Source organism: Homo sapiens, chromosome 1 (assembly GCF_000001405.40).
Source record: "Homo sapiens chromosome 1, GRCh38.p14 Primary Assembly".
NCBI classification, from domain to species: domain Eukaryota; kingdom Metazoa; phylum Chordata; class Mammalia; order Primates; family Hominidae; genus Homo; species Homo sapiens.
In genome coordinates, this window is record NC_000001.11 from 241,494,855 (window position 1) to 241,521,254 (window position 26,400).

Genomic DNA, 26,400 nt, shown 5'->3' on the forward strand with positions numbered 1-26,400 from the left:
ACCAGTTTTAATCTCGTCTTTATAATACCACCCTTTTTCTATTATTACATTTGTCTCTCCCAGATTTCTTTCTGCTGCAAAGACCAAAAGGACACTGAGGAGGAAGAAGAGAAAAGTAAAACATAGCCATGCACAAAAGCATAATCTTGAGAATGAAATATTCTCAAAAAATTTTGTGTGTATGTATATATGTATGTATGTTTTTTCCTTCTTTTTTTTTTTGTTACCAAACTGAACCATTAAAAGAAAGAGTAAATTTGACTGGTGGCTTTCTATGAATTCCCTGCTACTTGTGTGTTGAGTTGGGTGTAGTCCCAGACCAAGCAGTTCATTCATAAATCCCAGGACTTTCCCCCTTTGAAATCTGTCTGCTCAAGAAAGCCCCTGGTCCTTCAGGTTTGCTTACAGGGATGCATGAATTATCTTTGTCTCCATCTCTAGCATGACATTTTTGCAAGGCGTTGACCCCCATGGAGTTGATCTGGCACAAACCTGCTGGGAGTAAGTCATTCTAAGACATGAGCACCATGATCAGCTAATACTTCACTTTCTTGTTCTTGCTCATTTCTAAGACACCTTAGAATTTCAATGAATAAAGTCACAGCAACTCCAGGACACTCCCCCTGTCCCTACTCTCCCTACAAGGAGTGAAGCCTAACTGAATGGCGAGCATTTACAGAGACATACTTTTTGGTTCTAAGTTTCTCAATCTTGGCATTATTGACATCTTGAGCCAGAAAAGTCTTTGTTGTGGGCGGAGGGGCTCTCCTGTGCATTAACATTTAGCGGCATCTCTGGCTTCTGCCCAATTAGAGCCAGTAGCACCCCCCTCCTCTGTGATGACAACCAAACATGTCTCCAGACATTGCCAAATGTCCCCTGGGAGACAAAATTGCCCCTAGCGAAAAAACATGGAAGTTGACTTTCGGAACAACCCTCCAACAGGGAATTCTACAAGCCTTATTTAGATTGCATCATAAAGCGGTTTCACTTCACTAACATCACACAAAGATGACTGCCAACTCAAAGGATTCCATGATGCCCTATAATATGCTGGGATACATCAGACAGCTGTGCAAAGACTGTCTGAGGCTAGGAACTTGATCTGCCATAATCTTTATTACATAAGTCACTGTGTCTCTCGTGACCCTCAAATGACAGCCTATTTAGACTGAGAATGCCTGCTAAGGCAAAACATTCAGCATCATAGTGGATAAACTGTTTCACAACTACAGATCAGTTGCCAGTTTGGTTGTCGGGGTCCAGGCATAGCTATGCAGTCTAATTGATTTTATTTTCCAATAAAAATCTTTTTCTAAAAAAAACCAAACAGAATGTGCCAACGGAAAGCATGCTTTGTTTTAAAGCAAGCTACACAAGCATCATCGCATCGCCCTCTGAAAAACACTGGCAGAAACAGTATTGCATGAGCTAAAAAGTAGATCCTATAGGTTCTCTATAGTTCAGTTTTTAAAGTTTGAACAGCCTTTTAATAGTGACCATTCACGCTTAAGAAATTAGAAAAATATAAATTTCATCTTTCATCACAATGTTTCTAGAACTTTTTAAATTACGCTTTTAAATTCTATATAAAGCAACTACTTCAAACTACGACAGAGGAGTTGGTGTTAATGTGACTGATTTCCCAAGAATATTAGGGGGTAAATATCCCATTTTTTAAAATGTACCTGATAGAGTAATACTTACAGATGAGATGTTTTAGTTAATGAGAGTTCCTCTTATGATCCTGTTATTTATTACACGAGGTAGAAGAAAAAATAGAACAAATGCCTGTTCCGACTCCCTGCATAGTAGAGGTTGGCTCTATTTTAAATACATTCCTTAGCTTTGGATTTGGGTCACCCTATTCTGCATCTCCCTATAACTGCTAATTCAAAATCCCCTAAGGTTGTTTCAAATGAATTTCTGCTGAAGAATCTCAGCACTTGAGATGATGAACAAGACTCACTTTCAGGACATCTTTCCTTTCCTTCCCATCTTCCTGCCTGCTCCCTTTATCTTTCTAACCCTTGTCCTGTAATTCTTAACCCAGTCTTTTTGTTGTTTTTTTTCTTTTGAGACAGGGTCTCACTCTGTCACCTAGGCTGGAGTGTAGGGGTGCAATCTTGGCTCACTGCAGCCTCAACTTCCTGGGCTCAAGGAATCCTACCACCTTAGCTTCCTGAGTAGCTGGGATTACAGGCACACACTACCAAGCCTGCCTAATTTTTGTTTTATTTTTTGTAGAGATAGGGATCTCATTATGCTGCCCAGGCTGGTCTCAAACTCCTAGGCTCAAATGATCTTTCTGCCTCAGTTTCCCAAAGCGCAGTCTCCTAAAGTCGGTGTCCCTGACCCACCATGCCTGGCCTTGATCTGGTCCCTCTGTGGTAACAGAAACAAGGTTGGAGGGATAGGTGTGTGTTTAACACACAGGATATGTATGTCCCAATTTTCTTAACCTATTCTATCACACACACACACGTGCGTGCACACACACACACACATATACACATCCCCACTCAAAAGGGCTTGGTCACTGTGTCTCCAAATCAAAGGAAAATAAAAGATGGCTAAGGACATAGTTTGGGAATGAGATAATAAGATATAATCGGGCAATTTTTTAAACCACCAATAACCTCCAAAATTAAAACCCTTTAGAAATTGGTAACTTATGAAGTCACAAAGACAACATGCACAAATATCATAGATTCAACTATAATACAAGTCAATTAACATAGGAGAAAATTTAAGTCTGTTTTCCTTTTTATTTTATAAATGTATTTTATTTTATACTTGTTTAATCCATCTTAGACCTAGCACATCCTAGGGTTTTATATACTGATCAAATTGCTCTGCTAGAGATGCTTAAGTTCAATAGCAGTTTCCTTTCAAACTTATCCGTTTTTAAGAAATGGGAGTCTGTTTTTTTAAATTTTATACATGTTTATTTTCATTATAAATTTATGTAAATCACTTTGGACCCAGCATGTCCTTAGGTTTTACCCATTCGTCAAACTGCTCTGCTGTGAGATAGCCAAGTTCGATAGCAGTTTCCTTTAAGGTTGATCCATTTTTGTGTGCTGTCTTAGCAATCTTTGCTGCCTTGTCATACCCTGAAGAAAAAATAAAAAGACGACATATGGGTTAGCAGTGATATTTGGTTTCCTAAAGCAAAAGGTGACATAATTGTTTACTTGATATTGATGCTATATGGGCCTCTTAAATGACATTTTTTGTTTTTAAATTAGTTAACAGTGATTATCTCAATAATCATTTTTTATGTAGAACATTTACTTTCCTTAAGAAATAAACACTTAAACATACCTCACTTTCTCCAACAGATTTGTTCCTAAGTTGAAATTTTCCAGTAACTTAGATATTTTGAAGGGGAAAAAAGTAGAAATTATAGCACCACGACATAAAAATATACATCTGGGTATATTTTTCAAACAACATGTTTAACTAGAAACAATTATCTTTCTAAAGAAACATTAACAAGCTAAATGCTCCAGTCCAGCAGAAAATAAAGCACTGCACGTCTGGCAACTGTGGTGAGTGGCTCTGAGAGGGGAGAAGTCCTCGCAGTGAGGCAGGCGCAGGCAGGGCCTGGGGAGGGGTGCCTCCAGAGCTGCTTCCAATGGCTCTTCTCTATGTGGCTCTCCACTGCAATGGCTTCTATACCCTGGCCTCCTCCCAGACATTACAGGGACACAAATAGGGAGTCTGGGCAGAAATACAGACTGCACAAAAGATCACAGGCATACTGTTTACTTCAGAGTTATTTGCTTTTCAAATTAATAAAAGTGGGGGCAGGGCAGTTCTGCAAGCTGTCTTAACATATATATATATATATATATATATATATATATATATATATATATATATGTCAAGAAGAAAAAGCAGGAATGAAAATGAAACCAATGCGGGAGAAAAAAAACAAGATCAGAGAAATATGACCAAAAGGAAGAAGCTTGCTGAGGCAGTATACATCATCAATAAGATGGCATGTGTCAATATGCAATTATTAATCAGCTATAAAAGAAAGCATGGGCATAGTTACTTTTATTACTTAACTGAATTTGTGAATGCTAAATATGTTGAAAAGGGCATTTATTGATCTGAAAGGGCATTTATTGATGCCATTTACTGAAAAGGGCATCTTTCTTAAAGCAGAAATGCTTTGAGAAAGAATTTGCATGTTAAACTCTTGAGATCAATATATATCCAGTACTTTTATTTTAATAATGGCTTTAAAGTCTAAGCATTTCAGCTGTCAAGTCCAACAAGACACTATTGGCAACCAGCCTGGTACATAATGAGAATATAGGGAACCCATGATTCAGAGGGTTGTAAGGCTCACACCAAGTCAACTAGTGAGGTGGTGTTGACCCATCTCATTCTCATATGGCCTCTAACAATTCTTTTTATGTCACAATAAGTTGATTCCAATAAAGATTTGCCAATCATTCAACTTTAGGAGACACCTCTAATTTAAAGTTTTGGTAACACATTCTGAAGTAAAGATCTGATGAAAACTGCTCACACGAGCCTCTGGGTTCCCCTTTGTGTTTTTCCAGATGTAGTTGATGTACCATAATTTTAAATGGATCAAACATTATTACCAATCTCAATGCCACACCAAAAAACTGATATCATACTGGGCTCAGAGCTACCTAAAAGAGTCAAATGAGCTCTAATTTTAAAAAACTGTAATTATAGCTTGATGTGAAACCAGGAATATAAAATTTGCCTTGAAAGTTCAAGATTATAGAAGAAGCAGTAGCCATATTATGCCAAATAAGTGAATCATAACTTGTTCTATAACAGAAAGGCAGAAAATATATTAACCTCTGCTTAGCAGAAAGGAAGAATGGGTAAAAGGCTTTTAACACATCATAATATAATGCAACATAATGCCTCAAAATCTACAAAAGTGTAAACAGTTTATTTAATGGAGATCTCTATGGTCAGTCTACTACCCAAATCTGTATGTTTGATTCTACATAATGAAATATTTACAGTTCCAAAAAAGACTTATAATACAATAGCATGGTTTTAGACAAAATATTTGCATTTTCCTTCCTCCCTTTCACTATAAGCAATGAATACATAAACTTTTTCTTTTAATTGTAACTTTCCATTTCTGAATTGAATAAAACAACAAAATTAAAGCATTGTAGAGATCTAGGGAAGGTAGAAAAATGAGTTCATTCAATGTTGCTAATCAGCAGTGCCACCTAGTGACATTACCCACTGAAGGTCTTACAAATAACCTTCCCCAATGGTCTGCATAGAATATTTGGCGTCTGAATTCCATTAAAATCAAAATAAGTTTGAACTACTACTTCTCGATACATTTCAAATAAAATGAGGCATAATAGATCTAGTTTTGAAAGAACTATGACACCATACAAGTTATATAGTACCTTTCCACACAATTTCAAATATTTTGAGATTTTACTAAAACCATATTCAAAAGAAATTTGCTGTTCTCAAACACTGATCCACTTGTCTCTTAAAAATGGTTTAGCTTTTTAATTTTGCATTCAAAATGATATTATTATTCCTTAAACACTTACCTATATGAGGATTGAGAGCTGTCACCAACATTAGAGACTCATTCATCAGCTTGTTGATCCTTTCTGTATTGGCCTGGATTCCCACCACGCAGTTTTCTGTAAAGGAAACTGAAGCATCCCCCAGCAGCCTGGCTGAGTGTAACACATTTTTAATCTTTGAGTGAGTGAGAGAGAGAGAGAGAGAGAGAGAGAGAGAGAGAGAGACATTACTAAGGCAACATGTTTTTTGTCCAATAACATATTATTTTCTGGTTGACAGTAAATATACAATTCAATAAACATATAGATCTTCTACAAATTTTAAGGCACTATAACCAAGGAAACAAATGTGAAAGAAAGCATGAACATTTGAAGGCACAGAAATCTAAAAAAGGTGAAAAAGACATAAATACAAATGACTAAAACACAAAATAGCCCATAGCAAGTATTTAAAACAGAGGTCTGAAGTGTTAGAGACCATAGAGAAAGAGAAATTAACTCCAGTTGTCGGAACTGGTGAAATCCTATTTTATGGAGAGGACTTGGCCAGAGAAGGAAAAAGAATCTTCCACGCAGAAGGAAGAGGAGCAAAGATGCAGAGGTTCGAAAGTTCAGTATGAGTGTGAGGCAATTAGTAAAGTCAGGGCAAAATCTAATGATCACCAAATTTCTAGGTTTTCTATGCTTTAACGAATACTCCAGTCACTGTAAAATAACTTTTCATATAATATTAAAAAACAGTATAAAATCAATTAGTTTGTTTTGGCTTTGTTGGCAACATTTCCAATATTTATTAAGATATATCCAAATCCTAATATCCTCTGGTCTAAAACTCCGGTCTGAAAACTAGACTTCCAACAATGGACTCTAAGACATATAATCTAAGTTTTAATTTGCTACTAATGACCTTGTAATAAGGCAAATATTGATTATCTTTATTTTACATTAAAAATAAAATTTTAAAAAGATTAACAAGGCATTTATTGTTATGCACCTATAAATGCTGGGTATCTCGTGTTAACTGTTTGGAATCTGACCTGAGAGCAAAATTTTAACAGTCTGAGTTCTGCTCTGGCCTGTGTTTTTATTTACCACTAGGATATACATTCCATGAGAGCAAGAAATCTGTCTTTTCATTGCTCTATCTCTATTATGCATCCAGTACAGTGCCTGATAGAAAATGGTACTCAATAAATATTTAGTGAATATATTAAATATACTCCATATTTGTCATTTGCATATTCTTATAAAATTAAAATTAGAATTTAGAAGAGATTCCAAGAGAAAGTAAGCCCCTACTCTACTTTAGCTATAACACTTTGTCCAAATGAAGGACTCTAAATTATGGCAACAGCTCCACTATCTGCAGCTGAGGAAACTGATGAGAAATGGCGCGATGCATCTATCGATCTTCGTAAAGACGAAAGAAAAAGAACGGTTTGGGTGGACACAATGTTTTCAAGTATGTGGAAAGGTAAAGCCAGACAATGAAACGAAGTCTGACAGGGGGCAGAAGAAGAACTGGTGAAAAAATGTTCAAGAAAGCAGGGATGAAGAATGTTTCAAGGAGGGACAGTCAACATCAACTATTAGTAAGGGAAGAACTAACTGCGCAATGCCAGCTGGACTGAGGTAGTCACCAATGAATGGGAGAATAATTCAAGCGTGGAGGGGGCCATGCTGGGCTGTGGTGACTACAGCATAAATGAAAGTGAGTATGTGCTATCCTTCCAAGAAGACTGAATTTGAAGAAGAAAGCAGCAGCATGAGAAGGAGACAGGCTTGTAGGGAGGCATTTTATTTTTCTTAAACGGGCTATTAAAAAAAACATCAAATTGCTTAGGTTAAAAGTCAACTAATTTCTATTATCTAGGATTATTCTGGTAACTTAATAAATGCTTGACTTCCAACTGCTACTTATGTCACCCAACTACCCAATGTGGAATCACTAGAAGTCTTTATGAAATACAAAACCAAGATAATAAGCCTTTGGTCAAAAAACATTAAAAATCAGATTTAAAGCTTACCATCATTGGCTTGAAAACATTCAACTCAAAATGTCCATTGCTGCCTCCGACAGTGACAGCAACATGGTTCCCCATGACTTGGGCTGCAACCATGGTCATTGCTTCACACTGAGTAGGGTTCACCTTGCCTTCAAGAAAACCACCAATGACAGAGTAAAGACTAAATTTATGCAAATAATCAGGAGAATAAAGAAATCTAATTTCACTAAATAGAGTAAGATATACAATAAAGCAAGGCCCAACCATCAGTGTAATTTAATGAAACAAACCAACCAAGGAAGGTGGGATGGGTAGCCACAAAATGAATCATTCAAAGGCTAACGAGTAGCCACAACTACACATTAAATATAGTTCTCCACCTTCATGATTTTCATTCATTCTATACATATTTATGGAGCCAGGCACTCAATATACAACACTGAATAAGAAAGATGCAGGCCCTGCCCTCGCAGAACTTGGAGGCTAGGGAGAAAGAGCTGGCAATTATAAGGGGTAAATACAGAGTAGTGTATGCTGCTATCAGAACACTTATAAAAGCGACCCTTCACTAACACATGGGAGGCTTCCTAGGGGAAGGTGATGCTAAGCTAAAATTTTCCTATTTATCACGAGTCTCTGGAACCCCACTACCCTGCTCACACTCCTTGGACAAGCTCCAAGTTTGAATCAAACAACCCAGATTCCTCTGACCAGTACAAGTTAACACACTGGAAAGATTATTGGGTGGATTATTGCCTTTATCTGTGACTCCCCCAGTTCTCTTTCTTTTGGCAATCACCCTGGATTTGCAATCAACTAAACCTTTATGTCATTCTTCAACATGAAGTACTTTAAAACAAAATTTCATCTCTTCTTATTCTACAGATCCATAATTTCCATAAAAATCTAGAGTCAGGCCTTTCTCACTATTAAAAGTTACATTGTCAGTTTTAGCCCAAGCTACAGTGGCCTTTATGGATCTCAGTTCTGTCATCCATAGTATTGCTATCCCAACTTTGTTAACTGTTAATATGATTAGCATGTATTCTCTTCCTTCACCCTCAGTCACCAGTAAAGTGTTGAAGGGCAGAGCCCTTCAGCTTGTTACCAATATATTCTTCTAGACTGAAGTCACTTCATTAGTCACTTCTGAAATGTCACTGTTCACCCAGCTACATTCATCTGCCAGCACTGCCCACGCTTCTCCACTGGAATCAATGACTATCATGCGAATCTATCAAATGACTTGCTGAAATCCAGACATACACTGTTGTGTCACTTGCTATATCTAACAGGCATATAACGGAATGCAAAAAATGAAATAAGTGAAGTTTGGTATGACTTCTTTTTATTCAACCCGCGCTGATCACTTTAACAGCCTGCTCTACATTTTCTAATGTGGGATTCGAAATACTTGCTGCTAAGTCAGATTCTTTCTTCCTATCTTGTCAGGTGACGTGCCCAGCAGTCCTGACCAGAGGACCACAGACATGCTGGAACAGTGCGCCTTGCGCATCCAGCTGCGGGATAACTTTAAACAAAGAGAGACATGGTCCATAGCTAAGAATGCCTAGGACCTAGTCAAGTTTTAGCTCCAACATTTACTAGCTATGTGATTACCTGGCATGATACTGCTTCCTGGTTCATTTTCAGGCAAGATCAATTCTCCCAGACCTGACCGAGGACCAGAACCCAAAAATCGAATATCATTTGCTATCTTCATCAGACTGCAGGCAGTAGTGTTCATGGCTCCACTGAGCTCAACCAGAGCGTCATGAGCAGCCAGAGCTTCAAATTTATTCGGAGCAGTGACAAAAGGCAAGCCTAAAGAAAAGAAAAATATCCTAGATGGGTGAACAAGTTAAACTAAACATTTTTCTACCATTAGCAAGTGAAACAGAAAGTTCCAATATACGAAAAAATAAAAATTTTACTTCAGAAAAAAATGTTTACTTAAGACTCAAATTTTGTCTACATTTTTAAAAGAAGTCCTAAAGGAGTAGAAAGAATCTGGTATTACATTTTTTAAGTTTTTTCAGACAGGGTCTCACTCTGCTGCCCAGGCTGGAGTGCAGTGTGGCTCAATCACAGCTCACTGTAGCCTCAACCTCCATGGCTCAGGCAATCCTCCCACCTCAGCCTCCAGAGTAGCTAAGACTACAGGTGCACACCACCACGCCCAGCTAATTCTTTAATTTTTAGTAGAGATGGGGTTTCGCCATGTTGCCCAGGCTGGTCTCAAACTCCTAGGCTCTAGCGATCCACCCACCTTGGTCTCCTGAAGTGCTGGAATTACAGGAGTGTAATTCCACTGTGCTTAGCCAGGCACTACATTTTAAAAAGATGAAATAACAAGTATGATAAATGTACTGAAAGAAAAAACACAATCCTACTGCAAACACACGTATATGATGCCTGACTATGCTTGAGTAAAAAGTATATGGGAATTCATTCTGGTTTATACCACACTCCTTTCCTAATACCTTTTTTCTTTTTTTTTTTTTTGAGACAGAGTCTTGCTTTTTTAGCCAGGCTGGAGGGCAGTGGTACGATCTTGGCTCATTGCAACCTCCTCCTCCAGGGTTCCAGCAATTCTCCTGCCTCAGCCTCCCAAGTAGCTGGGGTTACAGGCGCCCGCCACCATGCCCGGCTAATTTTTTTAAATTTTTACTAGAGACAGGGTTTCGCCATGTTGACCAGGCTGGTCTCGAACTCCTGACCTCAAGTGATCTGCCCATCTTGGCCTCCCAAAGTGCTAGGATTACAGGTGTGAGCCCCCATGTCCGGCCCCTAATACAATTTTTTAAAGTTTCTTTGTCCACTTTACTGTGCTTCATCCTCTCCCCTAGCCAGGAGCCCACAAGATCCCCTATAAAAACAGTGTGCTAAAATGAGTTAGATGTTCTCAGTTAACCCCCATGTTAAAAATTTTATAAATCTACATTTGCCAAACCCTAAAAGTAGAGTTCTTTTCTATTAAAATATGGTTTAAAGACAAATCAGCTGGTAAGCTATCATGTGCAGTGTATAATTATCTCTACCCTAACCGTCTGGTAACATCTACATCTTAATGAGAGTTTTCTGAAGATGACAACTTGGCCCTAATAATAGTTATCATTATCTAAAGTATAATACTCTCTCTACTAAAGGAAAGACATGGTTCAAAAAGGTCAATAATTCAAAGAATTATCACAGCATGACATAATAGGAAAAAAAAGAAATTAAGTCTGTCTACAACATATTTACTATTCAAATAACTTACTCAACACTCAGTTTTTTCTGCCTATTTTGAAAACTGCTATTCAAAACTTTAAAGGGAAATTAATTGAAAACTAACTAGTAAACAAAGCTAACACTGGTAGATTTTAATGGCATGCTGTATAAACTCCTACATGGAACATTTTTTAAAAGGCAAATAATTAACATTATAACTTCAGAAATATACTTAAAACACATGTTTGATGGAAAAATATCATTTCTAACTTTAAATTCACAAGAATTCAAGACAGGAACACTCAGAAAATGTACAGACCACGTATAATGAGAAATGAAAATGAGAAATAATTCACGTGATCACTAACCTGTAAGTGCAGCCACTTTTGCAGCAACCTTTTCTGCAAAGCCAATTCTAGTATTTAAACCTGTACCAACAGCAGTGCCTCCAGCTGCGAGCTCATAGATTCTTGGCATGGCAGCTTTTATTCTTGTCATTGCATATTTTACTTGTTGAACATAACCACTAAATTCCTGAAAAGAAAAGAAAATTAAGGTAAGAATAAGTAATTCCTAATAGCTTACAAGTTACTCTAACTGCATTAAATAGAAATTTTTAAAAATACCTTTCAGAATACTAAATTACAAGCTAATCAAGTTTTATTTATACTACTTCAAATCTTATGATGAGCAAAGTATAGGGAAGGATGAGGGTTTATAGAACCATAAGGTACGACAATGCCACTGATAACATGCAGCCTATTTATTATAATCTAGTCTTTTAATAGGAAGCAAAGAAAAACAGCACAGGAAATACACTTTAAAAAGAACAACTTTACTACACTAAATTATTGGTTTACTTGCAGTCTACTAAAGAAACTGAAGTGATTTCTTATTTTTTGGGATGCCTCAGACAACTTTGGTGTAAGAAAAAATAGTAACTCATCTCCCCCAAAAAAATGCAAACATAGAAATATTCTCCATACAATTTCAGTGTATAAACCTACCAGGAAATATGAAGACATTCTACAGAGACTTGGGAAGCTAATGACTCACTGAATAGCACAGGAAGGTAACAGTTTGCATTGAAGGACCTTCCAAAAAGAATAGGAGGTAACGGTAGAGTCAGATCATAGCATCAATGTGCCAATGTCAACACTGGTTCCAAATTTTGACATGCCTTAATTAAAGCAACCACAGAATTTATGTTTTGAACACAGAAAGGGCTCTATTAATAGTCATGCAGAAACAAAAGGCATACACTGGGAGTTAACTGGACAAACCAAGATACATGGTTACACTAAATCTATCCTTTTTTCCTGCCTGAAAACACTAAAAAACCATAAGTGACAGGATGCCATACTGTTCTAAAGAAAACATTTCAAAAGATATAACTCATTATAGGTAGACCTGATGCATCTGATATAACATCACTCATATACAGTCACGCACCACATAATGATGTTTCAGCCAACGAAAGATCACATAAACAGTGGGACCCTAAGATTATAAAACCGTATTTTTACTGTACCTTTTCTACATTTAGATATGTTTAGATACACAAATACTTACCATTGTGTTACGATTGCCTATTGTATCCAATGCAGTAACATGCTGCACAGATTTGTAGCCTAGGAGGAAAAGGCTATGCCATATAGCCTAGGTGTATAGAAGGCTATACCATCTAGGTTTGTGTGAGTATACTCTGTGATGTTCACATAACTATGAAATTGCCTAAGGATGCATTTTTCAGAACATACCCCCATTGCTAAGCAACACATGACTGTATGTATACACACACACACAAACACACTAGATAGATTCACTTATAAAATACACTTTGACAGGGAACAATGCACGAACTCAAAAGACAATCCCAATAAAAGCAAGTATAAATGCTTCTGATAAAGTCAAACAGAAAAATGTAATTTTCTGTCTTAACAGGAAGAATGATGATTTTACACAGGAGGCTGAGTCATGGCCCAAATGGTATTTAGTATTGTAGTTTTCAACACCAAAAAAAGGTTAAAATTAGAAACTTGAGAAATATTCAAAAGTTTCAAAACATACATACTGTTCCTCCTTAGAAATTATGCATGGTCCTAAGTACTAATGATGCAAAGAGAAATGAGACACAGCCTTAAGAAGCAACTCAATCCAGTGAGTTCAATTTAGTCCCATCATTTGTTTTTCAATTACTCATTTCAAGTTTTCCTCATTCCTTCCATAAGGAAATTAAGCTACCCCAATTGGAGTGTGAGTTTACTAAGACAAAAGTCATTCCCTGTATTTCCTTACATTTCCTTCACAATGTATACTATTAGATATTCCTTAAGGCATTGAAAAAGAAACATGAAAATACTTTCTAATATCTTGGAGAAGAGAGTAGTATCTCCTTCACATGCGGCCAGATCCATCTTAAAAAGATCTACCTTATTTAATCACTTTGAGATTAAATTTTAAATAACCTACTAATTTAGGTAAGAAAGACAAAAGAAAAACCATGATGATACTGATGGAGATGACAGCGATGACGGTGGTGATGATGGTAGCTAACATGAATGGGTACTTACTGTGTGCCAGGCATGCTTCTAAGCACTCTACATAAATCAACTTACTAGAGCTTCACAACTATCCTATGAAAGGGAAATTATTTTCCTCATTTTGTAGCTCAGAAAACTGAGGCACAGAAAGGCTAAATGACTTTCCTATGGTCCCATAGCTTGTACACAGCAAAGCTAAGATTTGAACCCGAGCAGTCTGACTGAATCTGACTTATAGCCAGTATACTCTGCTTTTCTTCTAAGTGGATGTCAATGAAAATTACTGATTGGTTGAACAGAACAACCTCTGTCACTGAAGTTTCCGGTTACAAATTTGGCCTTTTAAGCTAGTCAGATTTCAAGGATGACACATTGGCCATTTGTACCAAGCTCTAAATTGAATCAAATTAGTCAAACTCCTATACCTGCCCAAGAGTAAGTGGAACAGCATCCTGAGTATGAGTACGTCCAATCTTGATGATCTGTGCAAACTCTTTGGATTTTGCATCAAGAGCATCATGTAACTTCTGTAGTCCTGGTAACAGTACTTCATGAACTTCTATTGCAGCAGCAATGTGCATTGCTGTGGGAAAAGTATCATTTGAGCTCTGTTGGAAATTTTTCAAAAGAAATATAAAATGTTAAATCAGAGGCAACAAAAACAAACTTCTGAATTAAACTTCTCAATTAAAAAACTCTCCAACTAACTACTCAAAACCCAGCTCAGTTACATGTATGTGTGGCATGTCATAGGTGAGTTATTATAGAATCAAATAAGCAGCATCCTGGTTTCTAACACATACTCAGAACTGTATTATACACATTAAGTATACTGAATGTATTATGTATTATATATGTATTACGTATTATATTATATTATGTATTATATAATATATTATGTATTATATTATGTATTACGTATTATATCTGCCTGCTAATAAATGACAGCAAAATACAGAGAAGTATAGTTAACAACTGCACTTGAAGACAGCAGTAGTATCTTCAATGTAGTTGAATATCTTATAATTATATCAAATTACATCAATTATTGAATTATATATTCTTATAAAATCTTATAATTGAATATCTTACAATTATACAGTGCATACAGTCTTTCATAAACAGCTCTTTATTAAGTTTAGAAAAATTCTGTGAGGTAGATTACCACTTTAAAAATAGGAAAGCCAAGCCCTCAAAGAGACTGTATAAATGCCAAAATATTTAGCAACTGGCAAACCTGAGACCTAGCCAGGTAGTATATACTCAGTGCTCTTTCCTCAACTGTTGACCCTGTACTTTTAAAACATAATATCAAGCTGGGTGCAGTGGCTCATGCCTATAACCTCAGCACTTTCAGAGGCTGAGGCAGGAGGATCAATTGAGGCCAGGAGTTTAAGACCAGCCTGGGCAACACAGAGCAATACCCTGTCTCTGAAAACATTTTTAAAGTTAGCCAGGCATGGCGGTGCATGCCTATGGTCCCACTTGCTCAGGAAGCTAAGGCATGAGGATCCCTGGAGCTCAGCATTTCCAGGCTGCAGTGAGCTATGCTCACTCTACTGCACTCCAGCCTGGGTGACAGAGTGAAGCACAATCTCTAAACACACACACACACACACACACACACACACACACACACACACACACGCATGCACACACACAGATATATATAAAAGTATACTGTCATTTAAAAAGATACATTATTTATATATTTTGACGTTTACTATGCAAAATATAAAGTACTTACGAAAGAAGTAGGATGAATGGTATAATAAACACTTATGTACCTGTCACCTGAATTCAAATAGTTTACATAATTATCAACATGTAGCCAATCACGTTTCATCTATAACTCTACCTTTCTGAGGCAGACTTCAGACTTCAGTATATATAGAACATAAATTCATAAAGGCAAGTATTAGATTGGGAAAATCCCTTATACAATGAACGTGTATTAAAAACACTTCTTCCTTACTACTTAAAAATATATTAAATTATACTTAGCACCCAGATCTCAGTTTCTAAATATCATTTTCCAATAAGAATTCTCCAACAGTTCCTTGAAAAATGGCTGTTTCTAGGGCTGGGGCAGAAACAATACAAGACAATGAGCTTGGAGCATCTTAAAGTACCAGGAAGTCGGAACACACTTCAGAAAAGTAAAAGGATGGTGGCATGCCTAAAAGGACACAAGAGCCAAATGAATTGGGTTCCCAGAGCTGAAAGAATTTAAGCAACAATATAAACAAAAGTATGGGATCATAACCTGAAGAATAAAATAAATAACCATCAGTCCATACTGATATACCCAAATAACTGAATAAATAAATAAATGGGACAGAGAGAACAAATCTTCCTTGCAGAAAAATTCAACTAACAAGTGTAGAATGAATAAAGAAAACTGAAAATCACTATTAAAACACCATGGAAGTAATTGCTGTAGATAAGATTCCCTGATGAATGCTAAAAATAGTAGGAAAAAGTTTAAGGAAAAAGAAGATGTTTGCCTAGCCTCAAGGTAGCGCGCTATTAATTACTACAGTGATTTTAATGTAAGCCCAAAAACTTTTTGATACTCCTCCCTCTAGAAACTGAAATACAGTGCCTGGAATGCAGGCAGGGTTTAGTGACCTATTTCTAATGAACAGGGTATAGAAGAGGAAAAATTATAATTTTACCATGGAGAAACCTGGCAAGTACCAGCTTAACCAAGTGATTAAGGTTAACATCACCAGTAAAAGTCATGTTGCTATCATGAACCCCTGATATGATGCAATGAGAAGGGCCCTTTATTTCTGTGATAGTTTTCTCAAAAATTCAAAAGTCTCAATCTAATGAGAAAACGTCAGACACACCAGAATTGAGGGACATTCTACAAAATACCTGACCACTGCTTTCAAAGTGTCAAGGTCACTGCTATGTGAAATCCTAACCCCTAGGGTAATAGTATTAGGAGATGCGGCCTTTGCAAGGTGATTAGTTCATAGGGCAAAGCTCTCATGAACGGAATTAGTGTCCTTACGAAGAGACCCCAGAGAGCTCCCTTGTCCCTTCTACCATGTGAGGACACAGAAAAGATGGCCATCTACAAACCAAAAAGTGGGCCCCCACCAAGCCAATGAATTGGCCAGTGGCCTGACCTCGGACTTCTAGCTGCCAGAACTGTGACAAATTAACTTCTTCTATTGTTTATAAGCCAGTCAGTCTATTGTATTTTATTACTGCAGCCCCAAAGGACTGAGACAATCGCAAAAGACCAAGAAACTGTCACAGATTAGAAGAAACCAAGGGGACATGTGACTAAATGTAATGTATAGCATTGATTGGATCCTGAAAAAGAACATGAGTGGAAAAACTGAGGAAAGCCTCAGTTTTTTGTTTTTTTTTTAAAGTCTGTTGTTTAGCTAAGAGTACTGTATCTATGTTAATTTCTTAGTTTTGATAAATGTACCATGGTTACATAAGATGTTAACAATAAGGGAAGCTGAGTGAAGGGATATAGAAACTATTTGAACTATCTTTGCAATTCTCTTATAAATCTAAAATTATTTCAAAATAGAGTTTTAAACAATAAAAAAATACATACACTAAATTCAGGTGTCCTAAAAATAATTTTTATAAGGATTGAAACATAAAACCAAGATTCCTTCAAGAAATAAGAACCATAAGAAGCCTTATCCATTAAATAATGAACACTTCTTGTCAAAAAGTGAATGCTTGTTTTACAAGAACAATCTCAGGTATGCTTTTCAATTTATAACCAAAAAACAGCAAAGCTCACATACTGACCTGGCTTTTATTAACATGATCGTTGGGATGCACAGGTATCTTGCTGCCAAGTTCACCTCCTAACATTTCAATTGCTCTATTGCTAATGACTTCATTTACATTCATATTTGTCTGAGTTCCTGATCCAGTCTGCCATACCACGAGAGGAAAATGATCATTTAATTTACCTTCAGCTACCTGCAGAAAAAATGTTAAAAATGTATTTTAAAAAAGGAAATAATAATGCTGATTATGCCACAGAGTTTGAATACAGTTGACCCACATATCTAAGCTTCTGAAGCATCACTTGCTCCAACCACAGATACTTTAAAAAGTGAAATATTATCTATAGTGAATGGTATGACAATTCACTGGTTTCAAATGAAAAGGGAATCAAAGGTATCTTTCTTATCTCTCTCCCACAGCCTCCTCTAACAGAGGACCACCTGTTAAGGCTGGCAAATACGTTTAGTCTCTAGATATATTTGTTGCTGGTGCTCAGCAGGAATATCCAACAGATGTTATTGCCAGAGTCAGCATGCTAATGAGCTAGTAACTTGAAAATGTGAGTTCACTAATAGCTACTTCATTGCACAGATGTCCAATGAGCAGTAATCACCAAATGTAGAAATAAACGCTGCCCAGATTTGCCCCTATTTTTGTTGTATTTTTATACATCCAGCTTATGTGTTAGTTTTTGGATGGTGTGCTTTGTAAAATATGGGTGGTTAACAATCTTCTGGAATGATTTTAGCTTAAAAAATCAGAATGCACTTGAGAAATCTATTACCTTGAACAACTGGTCCACTTTAAAATAAAACTTTTTTCTGGTTATATAAAAATATGTGATTAGTGTAGAAAATTTTGAGAACTGAGAAAAGTAAAACAGTCACTATAGTTCTATTGCTCAGTAATTATGACTATTAGCATGTTGGCATCCCCAGTCTCTATCTCATGCAATGAGGGTGTGTGTGTGTGTGTGTGTGTGTGTGTATATGAGAAACACACACTTTCTGTTCATTTTTTCCTAAACAAAATTAGGATCGTAAAATACATATATTTTTGCAAACTTTCCTCCCTATTTCTCATAGGCTAGGCTTTGTGCATGCCAATCTTCAAAAAAGTAATTTTCTATAATTTACCATATAAATATAATTTATATAAGTAGCTGTTATAGTTACGCATTGTCTAATTTGTTTTCATTATTATAAATAGTGCTGTAATTAACAACACTATATATACAGTTCTGTTACCTCTGATTGCTTCTTTAAGACAATGTTATTAGCATATTAGTAAAATTACATTCTCAATATGCATTATCAAATAATCAACTGGTTTTAAAAAGATTTATATATAAAATAAAAAATCAAGTAAAGTTCAAATGATATCTTTTCAAAAAATTTTCTTAAAACTATATAAATTAAGGAAAGTCAAAAGGCTTAAAAACAAAAGGTATAAAATCATCCAGAAATTTTGTCACAATGTAACGTTTTAAGCACCATATTAATATCACCACTAAAAATAATGCTACCACCCTCCCCTGAAATTCATTAATTCAAGAATTCACAGTTCCCCTTTCCTTCTGCCAGAGCATATCGTCATCCAGAGTATGGCATGGGTCTGAGGTTATTAAGCAAACACACTTATCACCTCCTACCTCATCTGCTGCCTTCATTATTGCATTAGCAATCTTTGGATCAAGACCATAATCCTGGTTTACTTCAGCGGCCGCTCGCTTCAAGATGCCAAAAGCTTTAATAACTGGGGTCTAAAATTAATCAGAAAAATATTTCAAATTTACAATTTTACTTAAGCATGGAAGTTTATTATTTTGGCAGATGCAAAAGCTATACATAAAACAATAACAATAAAACAGTAACACTATAGCTCTAAAATGTTTCGGTTATAGAGAAAGATTATAGACAGGAATTCATGAACCAAGAATCAACATTATCATAGATCTATTTGTTTAAGGAACCAAATAAAAACAAATACATTGACTCTTCATATATATATGTGTGTACGTCTCCCACATACATATACACACATATTCACACGAATACAATCCTATGCACAAATACACACAATAAATTATATGTGTTTATTTCATATACTATAAATAAAAACAAATTTAGTACTCAATCTTTTCACCAGCAAGAACCATTATTTTCTCTTACTGGATCCCACGTTACATTATAATTGTTTCCTTCCCCTCTTAAAAAAATAAATAAATAAGGGATATATTTAACTGCCAATCAGTATGAGACTACCAGTGACTGACTGGGTTATCATTTCACCCCAAGGCCAAAAAGCAATCTATTCTACTTAGCTAGTAAAGCCTTAATACTCAGTAACTCCCTGGACATTTCTCTCAGAAGAATTATTTTTTTAAACCCAAGATTCTCCAGACCTAAAGGTGACAGCTTCCGATATATATAAAACCCCATTAATGCAGATATTTTCATTGTCTATCCCAAATCACCTCACCAAGCTTGAAAAGGATAAACTGAAATGAAAACCTAGTTTTTATAAGACAAGTGAATTGTGAGTTCTTGTCAAAATTAATAATACAGATTGTTGTATAGATCCCACACCAGGTTTGAATGGGGAAAGAGTAGAAGGGAGAAAGGGAAGAAAGGAAGAGAATGATGAATGTATAAGAGAGAACCTGCTATCTCTGGAATCAAAGTAGAAAAAGCCAAGAAAAGTAAGAAATAAGACACATTAAAAACATAAACCTGGACCAGAGTAAGTATAAGCTGAGGGTCAAATAGAAAAGGAAAACCAGAAAATTTGAAATTTCAATTTTAAGTAACTAAAATTAAAACATTAGAAACGTTTGACTCAAACGAAATGAGGACAGATGGCACACAGGATTAGAAACTTAAAAACTTTAAACACAAAAACAAATGGGAATTTAAATCTCCACAGTAACAAACACTGAGGTAGTGGGCTGAACCACTACCAAGGGCAAAGGTGAATGCCAATCAACGCTGGCCATCTGAATGGAGTGAATGACCCCCAGTGTTTATGGACCATAAAAATAAAAAAGGGTCATTCACAGCAGAAAGAGGTTCAACGAACACCATAAAATGGCAAAATGTATCACTAGAGAGAAAAGACAGGTCACTTTATTCTTAATTTATTCACATTAGATGTTCATAATCTTTTTAGCTTTGTTTTCCTCTGGACCTCAAGTAAAAAGGGTTGAGTTTAATCATACTACTCAGTTTAGAGTACATACAGACTGTTTTACACATAATAAAGTTCAGAAAGTATGACAAAATCGAGACCCCAGGTGTCTGCCTTTCACAGGTGTGCAATCCCAATGGCTGTGCTGTCTCTGGAGCAGCAGCAGCAGGAACCATGCCCCACCAGAACCACAAAACATGCTGGTGACACAGATCAATGAAAACGGCAGCCATGCTCACTCCCACCAACACTAGCTGGGGCTGACCTCCTCCTTAGTCTCTGGAGTTGAATAATATGAGATTATTTTAGGATTGGTCACTACCCTTTTTCACCTAACCACGTAGTCAAACTATGTTTACCTCACCACCAAGAAGGCTGTAGATGGCAATGACAAAGATATTCTCATCAAAGATTCAGCTGCCTGTTGTAAAGTTCTATATACCTGTCAAGAGGCAGTCTTGAAGGCTTAGGAATGACTTAAAATTATTGAAAATAAAAGCATATTTATAAGATAAGTGTTAAACAATATCTCACAGGATGAAGCCTATCTACTTCTAGGCTTACTAGCCTATCCTGCATTGACTATTTTTCATACTCCGGTTGGGCTCCCGTAGAATATGTTATGCATTTCTCAATTCTTTTCACACTTTAACATCTCTGAAATCAAGATGTATCTTGTAATCAATGGTAAGTCACAACCTTAATTGGTAGCATTTTTCTTTCTTAGTGGTGCCTATTGGTGCATCTTCTAATTAATGGCATCTTAAATTTAATTGAATGTGGTAGAAAGTTTTCTCATCATTTAATCATTCATATGGAATTGAATAAATACTTATATATTATCTATTATATGTCAGACATGGTTAAGAGTAATACTTTGATGTGTTTGTGTACTATACACTTTTTAGGAAACTGAAACCAAAATACAAAGTGTAATTTTAAAAAATCTCAGTTTTAAATTAGTGGGGGAAAAAAGAATGAGTATTGAAATAAAAATATTTACAAACTGTAGAACCCTAGTAAAAATCTGTAAATACCCAGCAAGAGTGAAAAGACAATCATTTAGTTCTGCCAAATAAAAATCCAAAATAACTATTCACAATAGCAAAGACATGAAATCAACCCAAATGTCCATCAATAAAGGATAAAGAAAAAGTTGTATATATCCACCATGGAATATTATGCAACCATAAAAAAGAATGAGATCATGTCCTTTGCAGAGATATGGATGGAGCTAGAAGCTGTGACCCTCAGCATACTAACAGAGGAACAGAAAACCAAACCCGCATGTTCTCACTTGTAAGTGGGAGCTGAACAATGAGAACATATGGACACAAGGAGGGGAACAAAGCACACAGGGGCCTGTGGGCGGAGGGGGAGCAGCAGAAAAAATAGCTAATGCCGGGTTTTAATATCTAGGTGATGGGTTGAGAGGTGCAGCAAACCACCATGGCACACATTTACCTATGCAACAAAACTGCATATCCTGCATGTGTATCCCGGAACTTAAAATTAAATTAATTTTTTTTTTTTTGAGACGGAGTCTCACTCTGTCGCCAGGCTGGAGTGCAGTGGTGCGATCTCAGCTCACTGCAACCTCCGCCTCCCGGGTTCAAGCAATTCTCCTGTCTCAGCCTCCAGAGTAATTGGGACTACAGGCGCGCGCCACCGTGCCCGGCTAATTTTTGTATTTTTAGTAGAGACAGAGTTTCACCATGTTGGCCAGGATGGTCTCGATCTCTTGACCTCGTGATCTGCCCACCTTGGCCTCCCAAAGTTCTGGGATTACAGGCATAAGCCACCGTGCCCGGCCTTAAATTTTAAAAAATCCAAAATATTCAAAGCGATGGCTCAAAATAATAGCATGCTAAAACTTCAAAAAGTTCTTTAACATTTTAGTGAAAGAGAACCTCTTATTACTCACGAAGCCATCTTTTCTAATAACTTTACATTTTAACTCTGAAAAATATTTATAAAGTAAAGTGACTCATGAATACAGCCTACTTCATCCAAAATAGCCAACATTTCCACAAATGCCACTTACTGGCATGCGTTCTGTCACACCTCCAATCTTAAAGTTCATCGTAGATCTCACGGTCTGGGCGCCATAATACTTATCATTTGGCACCTTTAGTTCACCAAAGGTATCATATTCTATCCGGAAGGAATTTTGGCTTGCCTAAAGACAAGAATACAACACTATTACAAGTTGAAAAGAAACCCAGGATCAAAAGTAATCGCATCTTATCAGCTGTTAAAGAGAAAGAAACCTGAATAAGTATCACAAAGACAAAAAAATACTATTTGGATTCTCATTCTCTTCCTCACTTTCAGGTCTTTCCTTGAGAGCTCTTTGTCACACAAACTTATTAATTCAGGCTTTAAAGACAGACTGTAGAACTAATATACTATGCTGGTGATAAACATAAAGACTTTGAAATACAAATAGTAATCTTTTCCATTTCAAGAGTATGCTTATTACTGGTCAAGATTTGGCCAATTCAATGTACTTAGTTTAATGCTTATTTTACTGGGAACTTTTGAAAACGGTCTAAGAATGATTATTTGAAATTTATAAACATTATTTATATATAAACATTATTCACATATATTACATATGTATATTCATTTATATAAGAAATGTATAAACATTATTTACATATATAAACACTATATATATGCCATCATGCTACCAAGTCAGTATCACAGTTGGTCTGCCTGTTAAATATTCTCATTCTCAATGCACTTTTTAATGCATTTTTAATAATCAATGATCACACTAATTATTCATGTGTGATTTATTTGCTTATTTAACTGCTTTGCTTATTTAATCTCCACTAAAGACAAGAATAAAACACTGCCTGTAAAACCCTATCCCCATAGGGACTGTCTTATTTACAGGGCCTGGTAAGTGGAAGGCACTCAATAAACAGTATCTTTCTATTGAATGAATTTGTATGTGTTCTTTTAAATAAAAGGTACCTTAGGGCATCAAGGGTTATGTGAAATTCTCAACATTAGCAACAGGAAGAACTTTTAACAAAACCAACAGAGATTTTGGACCTGAGAATGGTTAGAGGGCAAAAAGTACCAGAACTAGAAAAAACAAAAACTACCTCCATCTGATTTTAGCTAACATTACAATTCTAAGAGCAAAGTAGTGCTGCTATTTTTTGACATTTGCATCAACAGGATAGATTCAGAAGTTCTCCAGTCTGCTTCCCTTTACAAAACACTAAATAAACAATAAATAAATTTAAAAATATGTAAAGGTTTTAAAATGCCCTAAAATTATTCGAGCAGGGAGTTCGAGGAATACAAAACATCTCTGATTCTGTAGTATAGTTGTATATCGTAGGTATAGTGACCCAATCAAATTATCTTGAAGTTTAGAGTCCAGAAAAAGTACTGGCCCTTTGAAATACCCTAGATGGGGCACTTATTTAATGAGCACTCGCTACATGGTATTTTCACATGTGCAGTTTTGCTGAGTAGCTGTAAGTATTTCAACTTTGCATACGGATTTGAAATCACATCTCTTAGATTGCAAACCTCATGCTACACCAGTGCAGAACTGTAACTCTTCAACTATCATTTCTCAAACGTTTCCTAACAATATACATATGTATTTAAAGCTTTTTAAAAGCCTGCATTCCTAAAGATGACACTCTAAAGAGCAAAATGACTTACGTAAGCATGTCATAACCTGAACTTGGATCTTTAAGTTCTTAGCTGGCTTTCTGAATAAAAAGTACCGATTCAGCTCCTAGCCAATCTGCTCAAACATGCTTCAGAACACTATGCCCGCGGTATTCGGAATTGAAGAGTTTTACAACAATTACGGGGGAAACCATAGTCAGCCTAACAAACTGAGCATGCAATTTCAAAGGAAGTAAAATCTTCGAAGAACCTTCTACCCCACCTGGAGGGCCTGAAAGCAGTGCAGTGCCCCTTGGCGAAACAAACCACAGTTCAGAAACCACTAGATGCACAGGCGGCCAGTGTCCGGCCAGCAAGGCCCAGCTATGGGGCAGGACGGTGCGGGAGCTGCCCCTCTCCCAGCACCCTCCGCCCACGCCGGCACTGTCCTTGAGGGCAGCGCCCCGGGGCTGGGGGCCTGCGCGCCAGCAGCAGCGAAGTTACCTCAAAACGCCCCGGCCTCGGCCCGCCACGGACGGCTCCGAGGAGGCGCCGGGAGCGGGCCCAGTAGGACCCTCTCTGACAGCCCCCGTCCCTCCCCAAGCGCTCTCCCGGGCTGCGGCTCCATCCCTGCGCCGGAAGAGGCGTCCCGAGGCCGGGAGGCCCGCCACGCCGGCACGGGCGCTAAGCCCAGAGTCTGGCGCGGCCCGGACGCCCGGGGAATCTCTCCCGCCAAGTCGCGGGCGCCCAGGCCGGCAGGCAGGAGGGCTGAAGGTCACTGCGGGGAGGCCGGGGGATGGCGGCCTGCGCTCACCATTCGAGCCGCGTTCGGAGGCCAAAACGAGGGCACGGCCGCGCCACCCAAGCCGGGAGCCGAAGCTAAGGCTGCGGCTGGAGCCCGCACGAGGGGACGCGAGCGCGCGAGGAGCCGAAGTGCTCGGTACATGGTGCTGAGGGAGCTTGGGTAGAATTTCTGGGCGGCTGTGGCCACGCCTCCACGCCGGTTGTCAGAAACCGTTCCGCCCACCGGCCTCCGCTCTTATCCAATCAACAGCCTCACACCGACAGGTGGGGCAGGACCAATCGTGAATGACCAGTAAAGAATGAGGGGGCGGGTTAACTTTCTAGTAGTAGTGTGGGGTGTAAGGCCTTCGGATTCATGGGAAACTAGAAAGAAGGGAATTATGGGAAAGGAGGCTCAGGTTATTCTTGGAGCCGGTCTGATTTTTACGTGTGGCTGTTAGAAGGCGGGAGTATTAGTTGGTGAATCAGGTCGTGTTTGGTTGGTGAAATATCCTAGAAAGAAATATTTATTGTTTTATTTATCATGTAATCACTCATTACACGTTCTTACTACTGAAATCTTTCTTCATTTCTTCCAGATTGTATCTTCTGTGTAGAAATTTTGGGAAGTGCAGCAAAGTGTAGATAATGAAATAGTAATTATTCATAATCCCACAACTGAAAAATAAGCTACTTACTTATTTCTTTTAACTTATCATTTTGAGATCGCTACCGTTTCCTTTCTCTTCTTAGCCTATACCCTCAGAACTCTTTTTTTTTTTTTAATGTATTGTGGAAGACGTACACAATTATAGGGAACCTCGGAATTTTTATTATTTGTATATCGTTCTCCCAGTTTTTTGCATAGCTAATTTATACATTTTCAAATTAAAGGCATATTGTTTTAATATAATAGTTGATTACAGAAAAGCAGGAATTGATATAAAATTGCATCTGAACCACAGTTTTATCTTTTCTCTTTTCTATTGCTTGGAACCAGATGACAGTAAAGAGAGAGCGATCGGATGTTCTTAAAATCAAAAGTCCAGAACCTGCAAAGCCAAATTTATGAGTCAAACTTACAAACTTGCCAAACCTTTTGGTAACATTATGTTATTTTGTGACTTATAAATTTGACACATATTTAAAATATAAAAATTCAAATGAGATTGTAATAGTTGAACTACAATCAAAACACACTAGAAAACTGAATGCAAATTCTTTAAAACATTGCTAATAATGGAATGACGTTTTGTTTTTGTTCTCCTCCTTCCCAGCAGGTATCATTATTGTGTATATCATTATTTTGATGCATCCTTTCAGTTCTGTGTATTTTTTGCTTCATACACTAATATACAAACAATGGTTTTAATATTTTACTTTAAAGTTTTACTGTTGCATAATTGAACTCTATGCTTTTAAGATATAGCCATGATCTTTTAAAATTAATCATATTGGATCACATGAATATGAAATATTTTATTTATCCAGTTTCTTAATAAAGAACATTTTTCTTTGCTATTACACAAAATTATTTAATGAACATATGTTTATCATTTCTTCATAGATCATCTCTTTCTTCATTGTGTGGTGCCCCTCTTTATTGTTATTGTTGCTTGTCCTTTTAAACTTTTTTTAATATTGATATTTCTCTACCAATTTCATATTGGCTATTATTTGCCTGCTGTATATTTC

The 26,400-nt window shown here is 37.0% G+C and overlaps 1 protein-coding gene across 1 annotated transcript, besides 4 other annotated features; it reads right to left on the minus strand.

The window, feature by feature from the left end:
* Positions 2,749-24,901, minus strand: FH (fumarate hydratase). The gene is made up of 10 exons (NM_000143.4): positions 24,737-24,901; positions 22,328-22,462; positions 18,749-18,859; positions 17,113-17,289; positions 13,749-13,931; positions 11,149-11,314; positions 9,188-9,391; positions 7,589-7,716; positions 5,583-5,736; positions 2,749-3,116 (listed from the first exon to the last, which is right to left on the minus strand). The coding sequence occupies exons 1-10, from the start codon at positions 24,866-24,868 to the stop codon at positions 2,974-2,976; spliced, it is 1,533 nt and encodes a 510-aa protein (NP_000134.2). The 5' UTR covers positions 24,869-24,901; the 3' UTR covers positions 2,749-2,973.
* Positions 24,336-24,605: a silencer, noted in NCBI's record as "silent region_2007". NCBI's record gives its function as "represses an Ori minimal core promoter by ATAC-STARR-seq in GM12878 lymphoblastoid cells {active_cell/tissue: GM12878}" and the evidence as "EXISTENCE:reporter gene assay evidence [ECO:0000049][PMID:35858748]".
* Positions 24,679-25,275: an enhancer, noted in NCBI's record as "NANOG-H3K27ac hESC enhancer chr1:241682833-241683429 (GRCh37/hg19 assembly coordinates)". NCBI's record gives its function as "activates a minimal SCP1, AML or CMV promoter by ChIP-STARR-seq in primed H9 embryonic stem cells {active_cell/tissue: H9 hESC(primed)}" and the evidence as "EXISTENCE:reporter gene assay evidence [ECO:0000049][PMID:30033119]".
* Positions 24,781-25,063: a silencer, noted in NCBI's record as "fragment chr1:241682935-241683217 (GRCh37/hg19 assembly coordinates)". NCBI's record gives its function as "represses an EF-1alpha promoter that drives an FKBP-Casp9 reporter gene in an ReSE screen in HepG2 liver carcinoma cells {active_cell/tissue: HepG2}" and the evidence as "EXISTENCE:reporter gene assay evidence [ECO:0000049][PMID:32094911]".
* Positions 24,886-25,015: a silencer, noted in NCBI's record as "silent region_2008". NCBI's record gives its function as "represses an Ori minimal core promoter by ATAC-STARR-seq in GM12878 lymphoblastoid cells {active_cell/tissue: GM12878}" and the evidence as "EXISTENCE:reporter gene assay evidence [ECO:0000049][PMID:35858748]".

Coding starts and splice junctions, on each gene's coding strand:
- FH (NM_000143.4), bottom strand. CDS start 24,868: ATGTACCGAGCACTTCGGCTCCTCGCGCGCTCGCGTCCCCTCGTGCGG. Junction 13,932..17,112: donor ATCATGTTAATAAAAGCCAG/GTCAGTATGTGA, acceptor AATTTCCAACAG/AGCTCAAATGATACTTTTCC. Junction 9,392..11,148: donor AAAAGTGGCTGCACTTACAG/GTTAGTGATCAC, acceptor TCTTTTCTTTAG/GCTTGCCTTTTGTCACTGCT.